This window comes from Homo sapiens, chromosome 16 (assembly GCF_000001405.40).
Source record: "Homo sapiens chromosome 16, GRCh38.p14 Primary Assembly".
Classification (NCBI taxonomy): Eukaryota; Metazoa; Chordata; class Mammalia; order Primates; family Hominidae; genus Homo; species Homo sapiens.
The window spans coordinates 26,125,487-26,145,315 of NC_000016.10; the positions used below are offsets into that span (position 1 = coordinate 26,125,487).

Below are 19,829 nucleotides of genomic sequence, written 5' to 3' on the forward strand. Positions count from 1 at the left end.
CGTCCCGCTGTATAGCCCCGCTCCTAACAGGACATGGACCAGTACTGGTCTGCAGCCCAGCGGTTGGGGACCCCTGCTTTAGTAGAATCCTCAAGAAAAGCATGGAAATAATTCCATTCTCTCTTCACGTTATACCCAGAGGGGCAGTCAAGCCTTCATATCCAATGTCTACATCAAGCCTTCTATGTCCTTAGTCCACCTTCTATGTCCTTAGTCCTCACTGTCTTCTTGTTCATCCACTCCCTCCTAAAATCCTTCGCTCATCGCCTGGCTGGGGACAGAAATAGGGCCCAAGGCTTGAGCACTCACAGGCATCCTCAGTTTTCTTATCTCTCAGTCATTCTGCTATAGCTGCCTTGCACTTGTCTTTAAATGTACGCCTGGAACCTGAACGCTGAGTAGGTCATTGTCAGTTCAAATTATAATTTCCAACTTCATCTGGATACTCAGTGTATTTTGCTAGTTATCTTCTGTAGAACAGATAAATTACTCCTTAGCTCTTAGGTTTTAAGAAAGATTCTTATGTTCTAACTCAAATTAAACCTGGCTTGAAATTCATGTTGCTACTTTGAACAGAAGTCCTTTACCAGTCATTATTCAGACCCGCCTCTGACACCACTTGTGGCACAACCCAGGGCCATAAGAGAGTGTCCCTCATCTTCTCTTGGTCACATGGGACTTGGCTTTGTTGATGTCTGCACACCCTCTGAGTCAATGTTGGCCAGAAGGTCTTCAAAAACTTAATACTTAGTACTCAGCCACACAAAAATCCACACAGGAATTTTCCCATATCCAGAGCTCTGTGTTAAGCAATCTCAGATATTTGCTTTCAGGAGCTGGGATGCAGCCTGCAGGTTGTCTCAGTGGTATAACCACACCCACAATAATGATAGCAAACACTTATATAGCGCTTATGATGTTTTAGGCAATAAAGACAGTACACACATGAACTCATTTCATTTTTAAAACAACCTTCTGAGATATGTGTTACAATTTTTATTATCATCCCATTTTACGTATGGGAAAATCTAGGCAGAGACAGGCTAAGTAACTTGCCCAAAGCCCCACCTCTAATGAAGGGCAGAGCCTAGATTCAAATCAAGGCAGTTTGGGTAGACAAGTCTAGGCAGTTTGGTTAGATCAGTTAAACTCGTGGCTCTCAACAGGGGATCATTTGGACCCCTGAGGGGGATGTGGCAGTGTCTGCAGACATCTGTGGTTGTCATGACTGGTGGGTGCCATGGCATCTGGCGGGTAGAGACCAGGAGTGCTTCTGACCATCTTAAAATTCACAGGACAGCCTCCACTACAAAGAATTATCCATCCCAGAATGTTGACAGTGCTGAAGTTAAGAAACCCTAGGTAAGACCTAGATTTTTGAAACATGAAGACCTCTCAGTGGGTTTGTCTAGGATGCTCTAACATCTTTTTTAGTCCACAAAATAGAGAAACTGTTCACCCTCCCTGGAGATAAAAATTAGCCGGACCATGGGAATAAGGGAATAGCTACCCTCCTTGGCAATGGGAGTGTGTGATGGTGGTGGTGGTGGGTGGGGGTGGTGATGAGTCCTCTGTCTTCCAGATGAGTCTCTGGAAGCAAAATCAAACATAAGATAATTTCTCAACAGGCCATCATAATCCATAAATTGTTAATATATCATCCATCTACATTCTGTTCCCTTTCCAGTCCCACTCCCAAGGTCCTTAAGCTCAGCAATCGACCCTACTCTTCTGTCATTGGGAAAATCAAAGCCATTAAGCAGGAAATTCCTAAACGTTGCTCCCCTTGATCTGGACCACATCCCTGCTGCCATGCCTTAAGACCTGGTGAACTTTCCTGTCTGAGTCAGTCACGATGGCTCACGCCAGTACTCTCAGGACTTTGGGAGGCCAAGGCAGGAGGATTGCTTGAAACCAGAAGTTTCAGACCAGCCTGGGCAACATAGTGAGATCCTTACTCAAAACAAAACAAAATTCATGTCTGTTGTTACCAGGGATTCTTTCCCCAAGTAAGAATGTTGACAAACCCTCATTTCTCCTCCTGAAATCACTGCTCTGTCTCCTTCTCCTGCCTCTAGTTCCATTCTGGATCTTCCTCTCCTTTGTCACACTGAATGGGGTTAAGGAGCATTGGCTCTGCTGGGTTTCAGATCCTGACTCTGCCACATACGAGCTGTGTGATCTTAGGCAAGACACTTAACTTCTCTGAGCCTCAGATTACTCACGGATATCATGGGGAATAATGAGTATCTACCTTCTCAGCCTGCTTTGGTAGGGCTATTGCCACTACAACCTCAGTGGAATGTCTCTGACAAACCTAAACCTTCTCATCCTAAAACATATGTACCTGCCTGGCACAAACTTTAAAACAACAAATATTGCTTGAGACCTCAGTTTGAAAATTTCTCCCAATGTGTGGTCATGTGTTATTTAAACCTGGGATGCTTCTTTCATTTTTTCTCAGTATTTCAATTATTTGTGCATCTTCCAAGCCGAGCTCCTCTTTCCCCTTCTCCTCCCATTCTTCCTCTTATCTTTATTCCTCCTTATTTTACCTTCTAGTCTCCTTCATCTTTCATCCTTTGCTCCTCCTCTTCCTCCTTTCCTCTTCTCTGTCCCATTCCTTTCTGTCTCCTCTCTCGTAGGCATGTGGCAATGCAGCTGAGATTTGACACTTATCATTCTGTTTGATGGGACAGCAAAAATGTCCCATCTGAACCACAGATCATGTTACTAAATGGGATATACAGACCTTTCCTCCAAAAACATACAGTCTATTGAAGGGCAGGGACCATGCCTGCTTTATCATCAACATATACCCCATAGTTGGTACGTAATAAGCACCAATACATACTCAGTGGAATTAATGAGGGAATATCTTTTAACCTGACCCTCTTGTTGCAAAGCAATTTGAGGTCCAGGGAGGGAAAGTCCCTGTTCTTACTTAATTCAGCAAGTTAGCTATTCAGTCAGAACCATAACTCAGGATTCCTTCTTTCTTGGCTGCAATTTTACTGAAAGCCCTAGAGCCTCAGGGCCATATGTACAGATCCTGTTCTTGGGTTTCTATTTAAGAATGTAGTCTCCAAATGGTTTGACTTTTTGCCTTCAGGATTTTCAGAATTCATGAATTTTGGTTTGAAAAACACAATGAACTTTCCAGCATAACTGGGCAGGGCAAGGTCTTGGCTATGCATCCCTGGACAAGGTTCTTTGTCTTTCTGACTTCCAGTTTTTGCATCTCTATAATGGGCTCAGTGAATTGTATGGTACTTGTGAGACTTAACTAGGATAATACGTGAAATTGCCCTGCTCAGTGCTTGGCAAGTAAGCAGGTGCTCCATTGAATTTTGAGTTTCTTTCTTCTGTGCAGGGGAACTGGCCCTGCTTCACCCCATGCCCTTGCTGTAACCACCATCCTCTTGGGTTCATCAGCAGGGCTCAGAAAATATTGCTAATTTATGCACCATTTGTTCCACTGGATAACACATTTGGGAAAATGTAAGATGCCCACACACCTCTAATTCAGGCAAGCCAAAGGCAAGCTCCACTCCTGACCCTTCCAGAGAGAATGGGCACTTTATATCTAATCCGGGTGATTGCTTTCTCCTTCGACATTCATGATGGTATCCATTTGCTTCAATTGAGGAGGCCCTGGAGAGAGATGTCACAAATTGAATGATGTAGCTTGATCTGGCAAGAATTTCTAGGGATTCTGGTCTGGGTGTCTGTAACTCCCAGTGGCAAGTCAGGGATAGCTCAGCTTTGCAGAACACATAATGTGTCTCCTTTTAAGATTCAACTTTGCCACCTACAAGTGACCTTGGGCCAGTCATGTAACCTTGCTGAGGTTTTACAGTTTGGTTAAGCATTGTCAGGCAGTAGCCAAGAGCTTGGGCTATGGTGTCAGACAGACTTGGGATTGAATTCCGACTCCACCTCTTCTCGCTTTGGGTAAATTAATCAAGTCATTGGATCTCAGTTTCCTGATCCGTAAAGTGGGGATTACAATAAAACCTTATTTAAAGAGTTGTTTTAAAAATTAATAGCTACTGCATTGAGAACTTACTCTATGAGAGTCACTCTTCAAGATATTAAGTCATTTCATCCTCTCAAACTCCCCATGAGAAGGGGTATTATTAGTATGATGCCTGGTTTTCAAATAATGAAATAGACCCATATTACTTAAGTTAAGTAATTTGCCAAGGATCACACAGTTAATCAGTGGATGCAAACTTGGTAAGTCTAGATCCTGGAGTCTCTGATCTTAACTACTGGGCTGGTGAGTCCAATGTCTGAAAATGCTTGGAGACGTCAGTCTAGCTTCAGAATTTGCACTCTCAGCCTCAGAACATAGCATGGAGTGAGCACTCAGTGAATGGCTGTGCTCAGTCTAGGCTGCATGTTAACTATTGTTATTGTTTCTGTGAGGACCCCAGAGGCTGACCTGCATTCAAAAGTGGCTGTGCTCCAGGAATTCAAGGTTGCAGTGAGCCATCATCGCACCACTGCATTCCAGTCTGGGCAACAGAGTGAGACCCTAACTCTTTCAAAAGAGAAACTGGGCTGTTCTTAGCAAAGCACCAGGACCAGGAGAGTGCAGTGGGGACAGGGCGAGTGAGTTGGAGAGTGTCTCATAAACATTTGGGGCTGTGAGAGCAGATGTGTGATCTTGCGGAATGATTCTCGCTTCAGGACTGTGTGTTGACGCTGATGTCACGGCTGCTCTGAGCGCCCAAGATACTGTTAACGAGCTGTGCCAAGCCCAGATGCAGTGTTTTCTCACCATATGGTTCACGCTGAAGTGCATGGTCTTTCAGACAGGGATGGGAGGAAAGTCAGAAACGCTGAACCCCATGCATGGAACACCTACTTAGATGAGCCATGTCCTGCATGTCCCAGTTCTCCTGACTTCCAGAGACCATGTATTCATTGGAATGTCGTTTGTTTTTCATCCAGTAACCACAAATAGTAATGGGGCAGCTAGTACATGTCAGACACTGTGTTTGGCGCTGGGGATACAAAGGTGATTAAAACTTTGCCTACAGCCCCAAGGAACTGAGACTAGCCATGAAAGACATGGGAACAAATCATATTATGACATTATTCTAAGCCCTGTAACGCAGGTAGTTAACAAGGACTCTGGGAATTAGAAGAAGTTCATGAACATCTTTGTAATGAAATAAAACACAATTTTTTTTGCACACCTAGCATCTGAACACCTTTCAGTTTTGAGAGAACTCCCAGCATAGGCAGAGGACAGTCGTGTCTTCTTCTAACAAAGGTAAAGAGGGCAGACATTCTTCTCCCTACTCCCTGGCAGGTGGAACTTGAACACAGGACATAGATGTCCACTTCTTATCTGGATCTCCCTTGGATTTCAGCCTCCTGTGTCAACATGATTACTCAATCCCTCCACCTGGGTATGTAGGACATATCTCATATTACAAGTCTGAAATTGACTTGGTATCTTCCCCTAAAACCTGCCCTGTTCCCAGTAGTGTCCACATCAGTAAATCATGCTACCATGTAGCCACTGGCACAGGCCAACAATGTTGGTGTCACCTGTGATGCTTCTCTTTCTCTTGCACATACATCCCACCCATCATTAAGGACTTCTGGCCTTATTTTAAAATCTACTCCTATTCTGAGCACTTCTTTCTGTGTTGCCCTCTCCACCTACACCCAGGCCCCCCACCATTTCTCTCTTTCTCTCCTAAAATTGTCTCTTAGCAGGTTACTTTCCTTCTATCTCTGCCACACTCCTATCTTTTCTCAGCAAAGTTACCAGAAAAATAAAATTAAGTGTAAATTTTATCACATTCTTCTGTGAGATATTCTTCAGTGGCTTCTCATCACATGAGGAAAACAATTCCAGTACCTTTTCCATGGCCCATAAGGCCCTCCATAGTCTATTCCCTGTCTGTCTTCCTGGCCCTATTTTCTGACTCTCTTACCTTTGCTCACTGCCCTCCAGCGTTACTGGTCTTCCTTCTGTTTCTCAAGCACACCAAAATGTGAGAACATGAGTATATTGAAGTGTCAGATGCAGTTAAAATGAACTTACTTAAAACCTAGAAGAGAGAAGAGAAATTGAGAGAAAAAGTGCCTGAAAGGTTGGAAGAGAATAAGATCCAAAGCCCAGGTTAGCAGGGGGTTTTGTCCTATCCACAGGAGGGATGCCTCCTCTAATCTTACAGGAAGAGGGAGACCAGCATGGTTTGGAAGTAGTTACTGGATCGGAGCCCCAGGTGAGAGATGAAAGTGGGGAAAAGGAAGATTAAGGCATCAAAACCTTTCACAACAAAAACCTAGCATTAGGACTGGCCTACACTTAGGAGTGGAGATTAATGGCTTGTCATTCACCCATCTATTCACTCAACAGATAGGCACTGAGAACCTGTTATTTGCCAGGACCTGTCACCGATCCTGGTGTTGAATTACTCTTGCTCAGCCACTCAACTTAGAAACAAAATACATACTTAGTGAGACCTTGGAACAAATCTTTAGCTTCTGGTCCTGTTTCCTTCTCTGTAAAACTGGAGTAATAATGATGCCTGCTCTGTTGATTTAAATACTTCATTATATGATGCTATAAAGAGCTCTTTATGTATCAGCTGTGGGAGCTAGACTGGTAGCTTAGTGGAGGAAGGGACTGCATCCGTTTTGTTTACTGTTACATTACCCATAGTGATCATTTATGGAATGAATGAAAGAATGAATGAATGACTATAACTGATTCAGAATCAGTTTGAGGAAAGGGAGCTTTGTCCTTTATAGATTTCAAGCAACTACTGGATATCTTCTCACTGACAAAATAACTGGATAACTCATGCCACATTGGTTGAATCATGGCTCAATGAGATAGTCTCCCCATGTGTGCCCCAAATGCAAAAACTCTCCTAAAGTATATACTTTTCACATTCATGGGTAGCATGAAGGTCAAAGCTATTTAGTCTCCTCTGCTCCCCTCTACTGTCTCCAAAGCCTTCTGCAATGCCTTCTCTTATTTCCTTTTGCAACAAGCAGTAAGTTAGGCACACATCTACTCTGCTAAATCTACCAGCTTATATGTTGGGTACCATTTTGTCCCAGATACTTCAGATAAAAGACTCAAGATCCACAAAGATCTTGACAGATCGTCAATCAGCTGAAGTAAAGGAGATGAATTTGAATGGGGCTCAGTGCAAAGAGAAGCATTGAGGTCTAAGAAGGCAAAGGTGAAGAATGGATGAAAAGAAAAGTTGAGCAGCTGCTCCTACACTAAAGAAAAATGCAACAAAATAATGTGTTTAGTTTTGTGTGTCAAAAGTACATCAGGGGAACTAAAATCTGGAAAAGGCCGTATAAAAATAGCTATTTTCAGGTGATGTGTTTTTGCATCAAGATTTATCTAATATTTTTATAATATGATATGAGTTGCATAATGAAACAAGGGAATATATCTCTCCACTTGAAATAAAAATAAGATGGTCAGTATATTTCCTATACTCAGGCTGAGCTAATGGTAGCTCCCTTGTTGGACACCAGCCTCCAGATCCGGAAGTGCAATTGATGATATTGGCATGAATTAGAGTATACTTTTTTCTAGATCAGTTCCTTAGATACCATGTTTTCCTGCCTTTTCCATTTGGTCAAATGAAGTATTTTTTTTTTCCTTGCCCTTCTGTAAGAATTACTGTAAGAATAATCCTGATTTTGGCCAGCTGGCTTAAGTTAAAAAAATTCTGACATTGAACCGGCATGATCCCAAGTGATTTACCTGCATTATGACATTTAATCTTCATTAAAATCCTATGAGGCATGGCCTTTTATTAACCCTATTTTCTTTGATGAAACATTAAGGGTCAAAATGGGTTAAGTAACTTCATCAAGGTAGCATGGGTAATCAGAACTCTTAATTCAGGCAAATCTGATTCCCAGGGGCTGCATTCCTTAGCCCTGTTCCTCCAAATTAGACAAATTGATCTGTTGAGAACCAAACAGACACACACAAAGGCATTCAAACTACTTTGGAGAATATGTCACTCCAAGATGAGCATGGTTGTTTATGGCCAGGGCTATTGCTTTGATCTGAAAACACCACGCTGCCCAACCATTATACTAACAACATCCAGCTCTTTGTGAATTTCTCTACGAGGCAAATTCCTCTTGCCTCATAAAAGTGCTTGCCGAGATAGCTCAAAACCCAGTTGCAATTAATTATTGACAGAGCATGTGAATTAGAGATAAAAGAAAAGTCATTCTTTCTCCACACACGCGATAGTAAATAAATTTAATTATGGTAGGAGAAGCTAGGGGATCTTTGTCTGTATTAAGTTTTATTAGCTAAGACATTTAAAAGCATGTCATCATAACAAAGAGGTCTTGTGTAATCCTAAATGCACCACTTTGGTGCAAGGCTCAGAAGTGAATAGATTTAATGGAGCACATGGTGGCAGATGGCCTGCTGTACTGACAGGTATTGAACAGGTTTATCTTCAATTAACTTTGGTCTACATATGCCTGTAGCAAATTGACTGTATAATGGCATTCTAAGCTTAATTTTATCATTGATAAGCCTGCCACATTGAGATTAGGGGAAAATGGCATCAAACCCCTTTAATATTAATATCTTGGAGCTCCCAAATAAGATAAGGCTACTCTGGAGGCAAACTCGGATGGAGGAATGGGAGTGGAGGAGCAGCCTTAGCAAAGGAACCAAGAGATACTGACCCTGGTATGGGATCTGTCAGTGGCTTTCTGGGCAATTTTGGGAGCAAAGAAAGAATAAAATCCCATATATTGAGCCATACCTATGCTAGATCTTTCATCTTATATGTCATTTTCCTCTCAACTGAATTTTCTTTTCTTTTCTTTTCTTTTCTTTTCTTTTCTTTTTTTTTTTTTTGATTGAGATGGAGTCTCACTCTGTCACCCAGACTGGAGTGCAGTGGCACAATCTCAGCTCACTGCAACCTCTGCCTCCTGGGTCCAAGTGATTTTCCTGCCTCAGCCTCCCAAGTAGCTGGGACTGCAGGCGCGTGCCACCATGCCCGGCTAATTTTTGTATTTTAGTAGTGATGGGGTTTCACCATATTGGCCAGGCTGGTCTTGAACTCCTGACCTTGTGATCTGCCTTCCTCAGCCTCCCAAAGTGCTGGGATTTGAGGTAGGTTTTAGGATTTTACAAATGAGGATAATAAGGCTCGAAGATATAATTCAATTTGCTGAGGTCACAAAGCCTGTCTGATTTCCATGTTTATTCCCTGTCCCTGGGCTTCGGTTTTCTCATTTGCACAATAATACCTTTGGACCAAGTCAGGGATCAGCAGACTCTTTCTTAAAGGAATAAGGAGTAAATACATTAGGCTTTGGGCCATATGGCCTCTGTCTTACCTCCTCAGCTCTGCTGTTTTACTGTAAAAGCAGCCTAGATGAATATGTAAATGAATGAATGTGGCTGTGTTCCAATGGAAGTTTATTTATAAACATTGAAATTTGAATTCTATATAATTTTCATGCATCACAAAATATTATTATTATCTTTTTGGTTTTTTTTTCAACAACAATTCAGTGATTACAAATCATTCTTATCTGTGAGTTAGACGAAAATAGGAGGCAGGAGGTAGTTTGCCAATCCTGGACTAGATAAGCTTTGAGGTCTTGTTGAGCTCAAAGATTTTCTAAAAACTACTATAACAATAATAATTTCTTTAATTTATTGAACTCTTACACATGCCAGCTTCATTGCTCAATGCTTTTTGAGCATTATCTCCCTTAATCCTTATACTACAGTGTGAAGTCAGTGCTATCATTATCTCTGTTTCAGGGATTATACAACTAATACGTAGAGAAATCAAGGGTGTATCTAGGTTAAACATAACTGGTAAGAGGTAGAATAGCCATTTAAACCTAGGGATATATAAGGGAGAGAATGTATATGCCTTGTGTTGCCTTTTCTGATAATACGTAGCCAGGGTAAGACTATAGTCAGGAGATATAGGTAAGAAGAACTTGCAAGAGTTTATCAATTTTATTTGGTGGTTCCAAACTAGGTTGTTTATATCACACATTTTGTGCAAAGAAGTTCAGATATTTCTGGACAGGAATAACCATTCTCTTCCTTTTTCCTCCCTCTCCTAGAAATGTGATGCCCAAGACTTTGGATGGGCAAATAACCATGGAGAAGACTCCAAGTTACTTTGTGACAAATGAGGCTCCCAAGCGCATTCACTCCATGGCCAAGGACATCAAACTGATTGTGGTGGTGAGAAACCCCGTGACCAGGGCCATCTCTGACTACACGCAGACACTGTCAAAGAAACCCGAGATCCCCACCTTTGAGGTGCTGGCCTTCAAAAACCGGACCCTCGGGCTGATCGATGCTTCCTGGAGTGCCATTCGAATAGGGATCTATGCGCTGCATCTGGAAAACTGGCTCCAGTATTTCCCCCTCTCCCAGATCCTCTTTGTCAGTGGTGAGCGACTCATTGTGGACCCCGCCGGGGAAATGGCCAAAGTACAGGATTTTCTAGGCCTCAAACGTGTTGTGACTGAGAAGCATTTCTATTTCAACAAAACCAAGGGGTTCCCTTGCCTAAAGAAGCCAGAAGACAGCAGTGCCCCGAGGTGCTTAGGCAAGAGCAAAGGTCGGACTCATCCTCGCATTGACCCAGATGTCATCCACAGACTGAGGAAATTCTACAAACCCTTCAACTTGATGTTTTACCAAATGACTGGTCAAGATTTTCAGTGGGAACAGGAAGAGGGTGATAAATGAGGCTAGAGAGGCAGAGGAAGGCTAGTCAATAAGCTAAGGAGGCTCCTTGCCTGAGTCCTTGAATACCCCAGCTTCTGCAGCTTCACTTGCTGGAGTGCCAAGTAGATCTCCTCCTCCTTCATGCAGCCAGGATTGCCTCCAGTGCTGTTAGCTTAGGCAAACAGGTGGATCCCATGGCATCCCCATGGAGGAACCAGGCCCATCTGGGCAGCAGCATCTGGTTGACCAGATGGCCACCAGAACCCACTGTTCATTCTTATCTTCTGCTAGTTAATATAGCCTGAAGACAGAGGATAAATAGTTGTCAATGTCAGAGACAGTGCTATTAATGTATATGTGAGCGACAAAAAAGGTCTGCTTTATAGGGGTTCTCACTCTAGCTTGGGGAGCCAGGGTTCTAGCCCTGTATCTGTCATGGGCACCTGCTGTCTAAACCTCTGCTTGGGCTTCTCCCCAGAATGCACTTTGTGGCTGAGTGCTCCAGGACTCCTAGGGAGCAAGGTCCTCCCTCTAAGGTGTTTCTAGTCTTCTCTTTAAAGGTCTCATCCCACAACCCCTGACTTCCTCCCTCCCCACATCATGAAGGCAGAGGCATGCACATTCCTCACTGAAAAAGAAAACACACACCCACCCACACACACACACACAGAAGAAAATGAAAGCTGACACACCTCGAAGCCTTCTTTCCAAGAGCCCTCTAAATGGGGTTGGGTCTCACTCTTCATGAGTATCCTGGGTTGTGCAGAAGCTTAGCATATGCCCTTGTGTTCGGATCAGGCCCACAGGGCTGCTCAAAGAGTAGAGTAATTGTAACCGAGGTCAGAGCTCTGGGGTTGGCAGAGATGAGTGGCCATATCTGGGGGTAAAAGAAGAAATCCTGTCCTCTTGGTGGGAGGTTACCTTACCTGAAGACCATCTCTCCCAAGCACTGTAGTTCTGAGCATGTTTTTGGGGTGGACTCTGTCCCCTAGGGTCCCTAGAAGGGCAAAGACCAGAGAGTTGACAAGTCTGTTATTAGGAATAATCCTTAGCCATGTAATGGAGAAAGGAGCAGTCAGCATTCTTCCAATTTGCCCCACCACCACCTCCTCGGGCTTCATTTTCTCTATTTAGAGATGGCAGAGAGTGAGGTAGTGGCGAGAAAGCTGACTCCATTCATCAGATCCAGTTTATGAGGGTTGGGGGTGAGCAAGGGCTGTCTGCAGAAACCCCCATCAAGAGCTGCTGAATGAAGTGTCCCTTCCCATCAGTTTGATTCAATTAAAATGCATCATTTGACATAAAGCACTTGTTCACAGATCTCCAAAACCAGGAATTGTTCTAGTAAAACTGGAAATTTGTATGAGTGGGGGGAGTTAAATCTGTTCAGCTGTTATTAAACTGTCATTTCTCCCGCTAAATGAAAACCGTGTTGTTATAAAGCTTAATGCAACCTGATTAATGAGTTTCGATGGTGTGTTTGTGTTGATCATCTCCATCTTCCCGCCTCCCCTGGAATGCCAGGAGCATCATCTCTCTGAGATGGCTAGAAAGTCCCAGAGGCAAGAATCTTCAGAAGGTTCTGTCTGCAGGGCACAGTGAATCTTGCAATAGTACAAAGCAAGTGGGTCCTAAAAGGAGTGCAGCTTTTTCCTATCTTAACCATTTCCAACAAGGAATGGACTGATATGCCAGATTCAAAAGCAACCTTACAAATAATTTTTCCAGATAGTAAAGCAGTTATTGAGCTGAAAGCAACAGATATACCTGCACTATCAATGTAAAAGAAGAAACAGATCAAAATGCGTGCATGTACATTTGAAGGAAGAAAATGCACCCATATTTAGAAGGGCAAACTGTGGGACTCATGCGGGGTTTGGTTTCATAAGCAGAGCAAGGAGTGAGTGAGTTTCAGCCCTCCCTACCCATCAGAGTCAGCCATGGAGTTTGTTCAAGCCTACTGCTTCCTGAGCTCTGTTTCAGACCTGTTAATGAGTCAGAAACTCTAAGGTGAGGCTCAGGAATTCATCCTTTCAAAAATATTCTTAGGGAAGCTGGAACTGAGAGCAACTGGAGGAAAAGGCTTGTCTGTATATTTCTTTGCCTCCACTCCCTCCCTCCTACCTCCTTTTATGCTTTTGCTTTTCTCGGAATTATTTCCAACAGAGGTGACCTCCACAGTGTTATGGCTTCCCTGCAGAAACATGTGCTCTTTTGGAGTTCAGTGGCAATAGGGTTAAGTGTTACCCTTATAACTTAGACAGTCAAAGGAGAATCTGGTTGTAGCAATGCTTTAAAGAAATAAATGACCTATTAATCTAGCTTGCTCTCATCACCTCCGTTCTGGGCAGGCACATATTCATTTGGACCCTCAGTCACACCTACTATCCATTTTCCATCTGCCTGGTTGTCTATGTGTCTTTAAAAGCCCAGAACATTAAGACTTGCCTCCAAAACATGTGTCCTCACATAAATATGTCCCCAAAATATGACAAGCAAATCCATTTTGTAATGTGGTAGCCAATGGTGAATAAGCCACTTCACCTGGGAAATAAAAGTGGAGAAGCCCCCTTAAATTATTTATACATCCTTGCATACAACAGGAGGTTAAAATTTCCTGGAGAAAGAGGGCAGAGGGCTAAGCCTTGGGACCTAGGGGATTTTTATATTTAATAGTGTTTGGTGTTATAGTTGAAAACTCGTGGTTCTGAAGAGAAATGCAAATTTGATATGTTTAAGGTCCATTTTCTTCAGTGTCTACTCTAGCTTGATCCTTGTCACTCTGGGAGTGAACCACTTAGCCACGTCCCTTTCTGCAATGTGGAGACTTGATGAAGGAATTATTTTCTATCCAGAAAAGCTAAGTCAACTTGCTGAAATAGAGTCAGGTTAATAATAATTCCGCCCTATTTAAACGTGAGCATTGCAACTCACGGGAGATTGAATTTTGTATTTGATTTCAATTAGCAAAGCATAAATTATGTTTAATTTTCTATCCCCCTCCTTTCCCTCAAATGGATGATTCATGGCTCTGGGAAGGCTGCTGCGTGTGGTTCAGAGATGGGAAAAGGAAAATTCATCCTCCCAAATAGTGCAGCTGTCATTGCTCCCGTATTCATCTCTTTCTGTCAGTATCATTCTGTACCTGAAAGGTGTGAAAGCCTTGACATTGCGACTTAGACCTACCAGCTCAAAACACAATAATAATCAAAAGCACCCAGCAGCCCATTTATCTTTTAGACTGTGTATGAAAACCACGACTTTAGAATAGTAAATATGTGACCCTTCTTTGGGATTCCTTGCAAACTTTAGGAGCCCCTCAGATCAAATTTTAAGTTCAGGAGAGTGTGGCCTGCTCAATCCCTTAGCACTAGGAGTCCAGTCTAAGCCTCACTTTTTTACGACCCCAAATCTTTTCCCCTCTCATTCACCCACCTGTTTATTTAACAAAGAAAACTTCTGCATTGCCTCACTATGGTCAGAAAAGGGGTCACTGGGTCTTATCCTTGCCTCTGTCTGTGTCTTGGACAACTAGATTTATCAATATGAACATTAGTTTTCATATCTGTAACATAAGTATACTTAATTCCTGCTGGCCTACCACCCAGAGTTTTTCTGATGATCAAAATGAGTTAATAGATAGGAAAGTATTTGAAAAGAATAAAGTACTTCATTGACACAAGAATAGTGATGATGATGATGATGATGATGCAGAGCTGATGGTAATAACGATGATGATGGTGATGGTGATGGTGATGATACTGCAGAGTGATAGGATGATGATGGTGATGACAATGATGATGATGGTGTTGATGATGCAGAGCTGATGGTGATGATGGTGGTGATGGTGATGGTAGTGATGGTGATGATGATCTGTGGAGCTAATGGTGATAAGGATGATAATGATGATGATGATGACTCAGAGCTGATGGAGATAAAGATGATGATAGTAGTGATGATGATGGTGATAATGATGGTAATGACAATGATGGTGATGCAGAGCTGATGGTGATGATTATGGTTGTGATGGTGATGATGATGATGTTGATATGATCTGTGGAGGTAATGGTGATAAGGATGATGATGGTGTTGCAATGATGATGATAATGATGCAGAGCTGATGATGATAAAGATAATGATAATGATGGTGATGGCCATCATACTGCAGGACTGATGGTGATAAAGATGACCATGGTGATGATGATGGTGAAGAAGATAATTGTGAAGAAGATTAAGAAGGAAGAAGAGGAGGAGAAAAAACGGTTCCCAAAACCCCTTCCAGAACAACATGCCTTTATAGCATTCCAGGGAGTATGTTCAGGTGAAAGTGCTGTTTTACTCAGACCAAACAATGATGAGAGTGCAAAGAGAAAGTGAAGCACCATTGATTTGCTTAAAGCCAAGGCCAGAAGAAGAGCTCCCTATAAATGGCACTGAATGGGCTGAATTTCAGACACTCAAATGCAAAACCTTCTCCCCTACCCAAAGACAGGGTCTCACCGAATTCATAGATGGGTTCTCCTCACTGTGGCCTTTCCCTTGCTACATACTCAAGGTTCTTTCAGATATAACAAGGCTTCAAGATTAATTCATACAGAGCCAAATACATTCTCTTGAAATGAAGGTGAGGGCAATGTTTTTGAGCTTGCAGGCTATGTATTCGGTGCTTGAAGCTCTGAATCCTAAAAGGTTACATGGAAGACAAAGATGTTTGGGAAGCAGGGCACATCCTTGGGAGTAGCTCTCGTAGTTTTCTGGAAATAAGTTGGGATTGGTGGATCTCCTCAGGTTCTTCCTGTAACAACTTAGGGTGGAAAGAGATGAGTTCATGCATTTCCCAGTTTCTCAAAAGAATGTAGACTTGTCATTTTCAGACATAAGAGATACATGGAACCACTGTCTCAAATTGTGAAATGTCTTACATGATGAGGTAATAATAGTACATTTTCTGTCATCAAGGCAGGAAATCAAGGCTAAGAAAATATATGTCCATGAATGGAAGATAAGCAAGAATCTCTAGTGTCCCTGGGCTATGGGAAAACAATGCTGCTGTGGAAAACAACGCTGCTCTAGAAGCTGTCATGTTTTATTCAGTCTTTAATTCACACACACACATCTGTAGAGTGACCAAGTGGCAACAGGAAGAGATATGGGGAAGAGCAAAGCTGACTCACCTTGACACTTGACACTTGGTACTCCCAGCCCAGTGGGGAAGATGGACATGGATTTAGGCTAAATGAGGAGGGACATACGGAGTGCACATGAAATGAAGCAGGGTAGGGGGAGGTAATATGGAGGATAACCAACTAGGGGGAAGGGAAGACCACCAAGTACTTGTTGCAATAGAGACCACACTCAGCAGCATTTAGTCTTATCCCAAATTATAAGACAATTCTTACAAAGCACAAAGTGGTAGACACTAACAAAAGAAAAGATAACAATTATAAGATTGGGTAATTAAGAAGACAAATATTTGGGGGGTGGGGAAGAGAGAGAGAGCGCGATGCATAAAGAATGTGATTAACAAGAAAAGTATTTGCCCAGAAGGGAAGATGCTATCTTTTTTTTAAGTGACCACAGCCAAGCCATTAATAGAGAACATAAATCCTTCCAGGCTCCTTCTACCACCTATGGTTTCCTTGGTATTGCCCTTGGTCCAAGGTCAAGGGATGTCTTTGATGCCACCCTCAGGTGTCAGCTACTTGTTGACTAATACATCAAGAAGGAAACACCAAACTACTAGAAATTCATCTTTTCTGAAAATGTGCTAAAATCAGCAATAGTTCAAATTAAAGCACACTTGCACAATACACAGCTTGAATTAAATTAAAATATAAGGTAGACTTGTCCTCTAGCTCAGGCATAATGAGGTCTTTTGACCGTATTTTAAAAGATGGGGTCTGTAAGGACTTGGGTTTGCAAGAGACTTTTCCAAACTTCCAAAGCAGGGTAGTGACTGAAGTAAAACCACGAAGTGGCTGGCTCAGAATAATGGGAGAAGGAAGTGACAGTACAGCCTGCCCTAATAATAGCAGTCAACATGATTTGAAAGGGTGTTTTCCTAAGCCCAGGAAAGGTCAGTTTGGATAGCTGTGATCCTGTCTAATCATTCCGGACCACGTGGAAAAGAATTATTTTGAAATAGGCAGGAGAATTGATATTGAGTTTTAGTTGCAGACAACAATGTCATGGGGAGTCGTCCATGAGGCTGTGAACAGACTAGAACTACAACAGTCTTTCATGTTTGGGGATCAGAAAGATCTTCATCACAGCTTCTTTCTGGCTCTGAGTGAATTCATAACTCCCTGTTGTTGTAATAACTGTGGGGCATAAGAAGGACTGACTGTGAGATATGGAGCTCTTTGGGGTTAATACTTCTCAATCTGGTCAGTCTCAGACATCACAAACCCATTCCCTGGTTCTTTTCCAGGAGAAAATAGAGATCTGCATTCAAACTGAAACCCAGAACAATAGAGATTTCTCCTATTAACCACCTGGCCCCAGGAAGTACTCCCTAGCAAGTTTCCTCGATGAATCCTTTCAGGGATGGGTTATCTCCGTATTTAGCTTCTTCTGCTTTACCATTTCCTTCCAGAGCCACATATCACATGGTGTCTACTGAGAGAAGCCTCCCCTTGCAAAGATGTCAGATTATCTATCCCATGAACCTTGGGTCCCATAGCTTTTTTTTCTAGGGCAGGCTATTTTGAGAAAAAAAAAAAAAGGCAATGGAAAGTCAGAGAGGACATTTAGGGTAGCACTGAGCACTGGGAAAAGTTGATGCAGGAATCCAAGTGCAGGTCAATAGTGGGGCTGAGAAATTTGGTGTAAAGAACCCTCGGAGTCCATGTCGTATGTCTTCATTGTACCAATGCAAAATTAGAAATCAACATGGCACATGTATACATATGTAACAAACCTGCACGTTGTGCACATGTACCCTAAAACTTAAAGTATGATAAAAAAAAAAAAAAAGGAATTACCTTGTTTTGCCTAAGATGACACAGAAGAGCAAGGCTTCCAACCTGGATCTGCTGACTTCTAGTCCTGTGCACTTCCCACTACCCTCAAATCAGAGACTCAGGAGATAACTCAAGTGTACTTAAAAGTAGCTTTTCCCCTCAAAGGACATGAACTCATTCTTCTTCATGGCTGCTTAGTATTCCATTGTGTATATGTGCCACATTTTCCTTATCCAATCTATCAATGATGGGCATTTGGGTTGGTTCCAAGGGACATGGATGGAGCTGGAAATCATCATCCTCAGCAAACTAACATAGAAACAGAAAACCAAACACCGTATGTTCTCACTCATAAGTGGGAGTTAAACAAGGAGAACACATGGACACAGGGAAGGGAACATCACACACCGGGGCAGGTTGTGGGGGTGGGGGGAAAGGGGAGGGAGAGCATTAGGACAAATAACTAATGCATGCGAGGCTTAAAACCTAGATGATGGGTTGATAGGTGCAGCAAACCACAATGGCATCTGTATACCTATGTAACAAACCTGTACGTTCAGCACATGTATCCCAGAACTTAAAGTAATTTTTTTTTTTTTTGAGACAGAATCTCGCTCTGTTGCCCAGGCTGGAGCACAGTGGTGTGCTCTCAGCTCACTGCAAGCTCTGCCTTCTCCTGCCTCAGCCTCCCAAGTAGCTGGGACTACAGGTGCCCGCCACCACGCCTGGCTAATTTTTTTGTATTTTTAGTAGAGACGGGGTTTCACCATGTTAGCCAGGATGGTCTCAATCTCCTGACCTCGTGATCCACCCGCCTCAGCCTCCCAAAGTGCTGGGATTACAGGCGTGAACTTAAAGTAAAATTTAAAAAAATTTAAAAAAAGATCTACTCATAATCCTTCAAAAAAAAAGTAGCTTTGCCTAACAGATTGGTCGTGGAAATGGAATGTTTCTAAAAATGCTAGGAGGATAGCTTTTTCTAGAGGCAGGGGTTAAGTGTATGCTTGATTCTGAATGGGCCCCAGGCTTCTCTCATTGGAATGTAGTCCAATTTTTTCTGATGGCCTTCCCAAAGTTAGAGGATACTGATGGATATTCACCATGCTGGACTGAGAGTGCTTCAGAGTCCTGCAGAGAGCACACCTGTGGGTGAACCTAGACCTGTATGTGTTAGATCAGTGCTCATAGTTGTCTACTGCCCTTTGCTGACTCTACATTTCATCTGTCAACCAGGACTTAGAGCAGTAGCTTTGCGTAAGGAGCAAGACAGTGTTCTGAGGAAGCCATGAGCAATTATCTCTATCCAGAATCAACTAAATTAGACACAAGGAGGAATATTTAGGCAGTGACAGTTGTTAAACCAAACCGAAGAGCTGTGAAATCTTCATCATTTATTTCATTCCTCTATTATTGAGTAAACATTTATATATCATCACTATGCCAGGTGCTAAAGAAAGGTTGTGGACAAGAAGTCCCATTAAACTGTCCTCATGAAACTTTAATAGGAGAAAGATGCCCATCTTTCTCTTGTTAGTACAAAAGCTGTCCAGCCAGTAAGCAGGAATGGATAGGATGGTTTCTTGGGAAAAGCAAAAATCTGGAATTTGATCATTAAAGGGAGCTTGGGCTGTAGAAGATATTGGATATCTCCTTCCTTTATATCTCAACTTGAGAGGAGAGTTGATATTAAGCTTTCTGAAAATTTCTGACTTCTTTTTCCCTGCTCCTTTCTACCTGGAAGAAACATAAAATATCCTGGAACAAAAGAGAATAAAATGAGCTGGAATTGCAGGATTAGACTAGAAGCAGGTTGGAGAAATGACAAATTATGGTTCATGAGAGGTTGAGAGACGATTATCTCATGTCCTGCTTGCCTCCACAGTGGGTCCACAGAGGCAAAGATGGGCTAATGCCCAGCAACCCTAACACGGTTCTGTGCTGGACCATGGAAGGACATGGTCTCCCTTCCCGGCCAAATTTCAAAAAGCTCCAATCTCTTTGACAGATCTACCTCTACCACATCTTTGCTTACAACTTAATTACACCTGTGTTTCTGTAACAAAGGATATTTACCATTAAATGTCTTTAGAGGCTGAATTTTTGTCACCGGTTTGTTTCTAGGATCA

At 42.5% G+C, this 19,829-nt stretch overlaps 1 protein-coding gene across 1 annotated transcript in view, besides 2 other annotated features; it reads left to right on the forward strand.

Moving 5' to 3' along the window:
- HS3ST4 (heparan sulfate-glucosamine 3-sulfotransferase 4) overlaps positions 1–12,199 on the forward strand; it is a 445,727-nt gene extending 433,528 nt beyond the window's left edge. Inside the window, exon 2 of the mRNA NM_006040.3 lies at positions 10,126–12,199. Within this exon, the coding sequence (NP_006031.2) occupies positions 10,126–10,762 (637 nt within the window). The 3' untranslated portion in view covers positions 10,763–12,199. The remainder of the gene's footprint in view (positions 1–10,125) is intronic.
- Positions 1,067–2,266: an enhancer, noted in NCBI's record as "MED14-independent group 3 enhancer chr16:26137874-26139073 (GRCh37/hg19 assembly coordinates)". NCBI's record gives its function as "activates an origin of replication core promoter dependent on BRD2, BRD4, P300/CBP and CDK7 cofactors, and independent of MED14, by STARR-seq in HCT116 cells {active_cell/tissue: HCT116}" and the evidence as "EXISTENCE:reporter gene assay evidence [ECO:0000049][PMID:35650434]".
- Positions 8,148–8,660: an enhancer, noted in NCBI's record as "NANOG hESC enhancer chr16:26144955-26145467 (GRCh37/hg19 assembly coordinates)". NCBI's record gives its function as "activates a minimal SCP1, AML or CMV promoter by ChIP-STARR-seq in primed H9 embryonic stem cells {active_cell/tissue: H9 hESC(primed)}" and the evidence as "EXISTENCE:reporter gene assay evidence [ECO:0000049][PMID:30033119]".
- Positions 12,200–19,829: the final 7,630 nt, after the last annotated feature.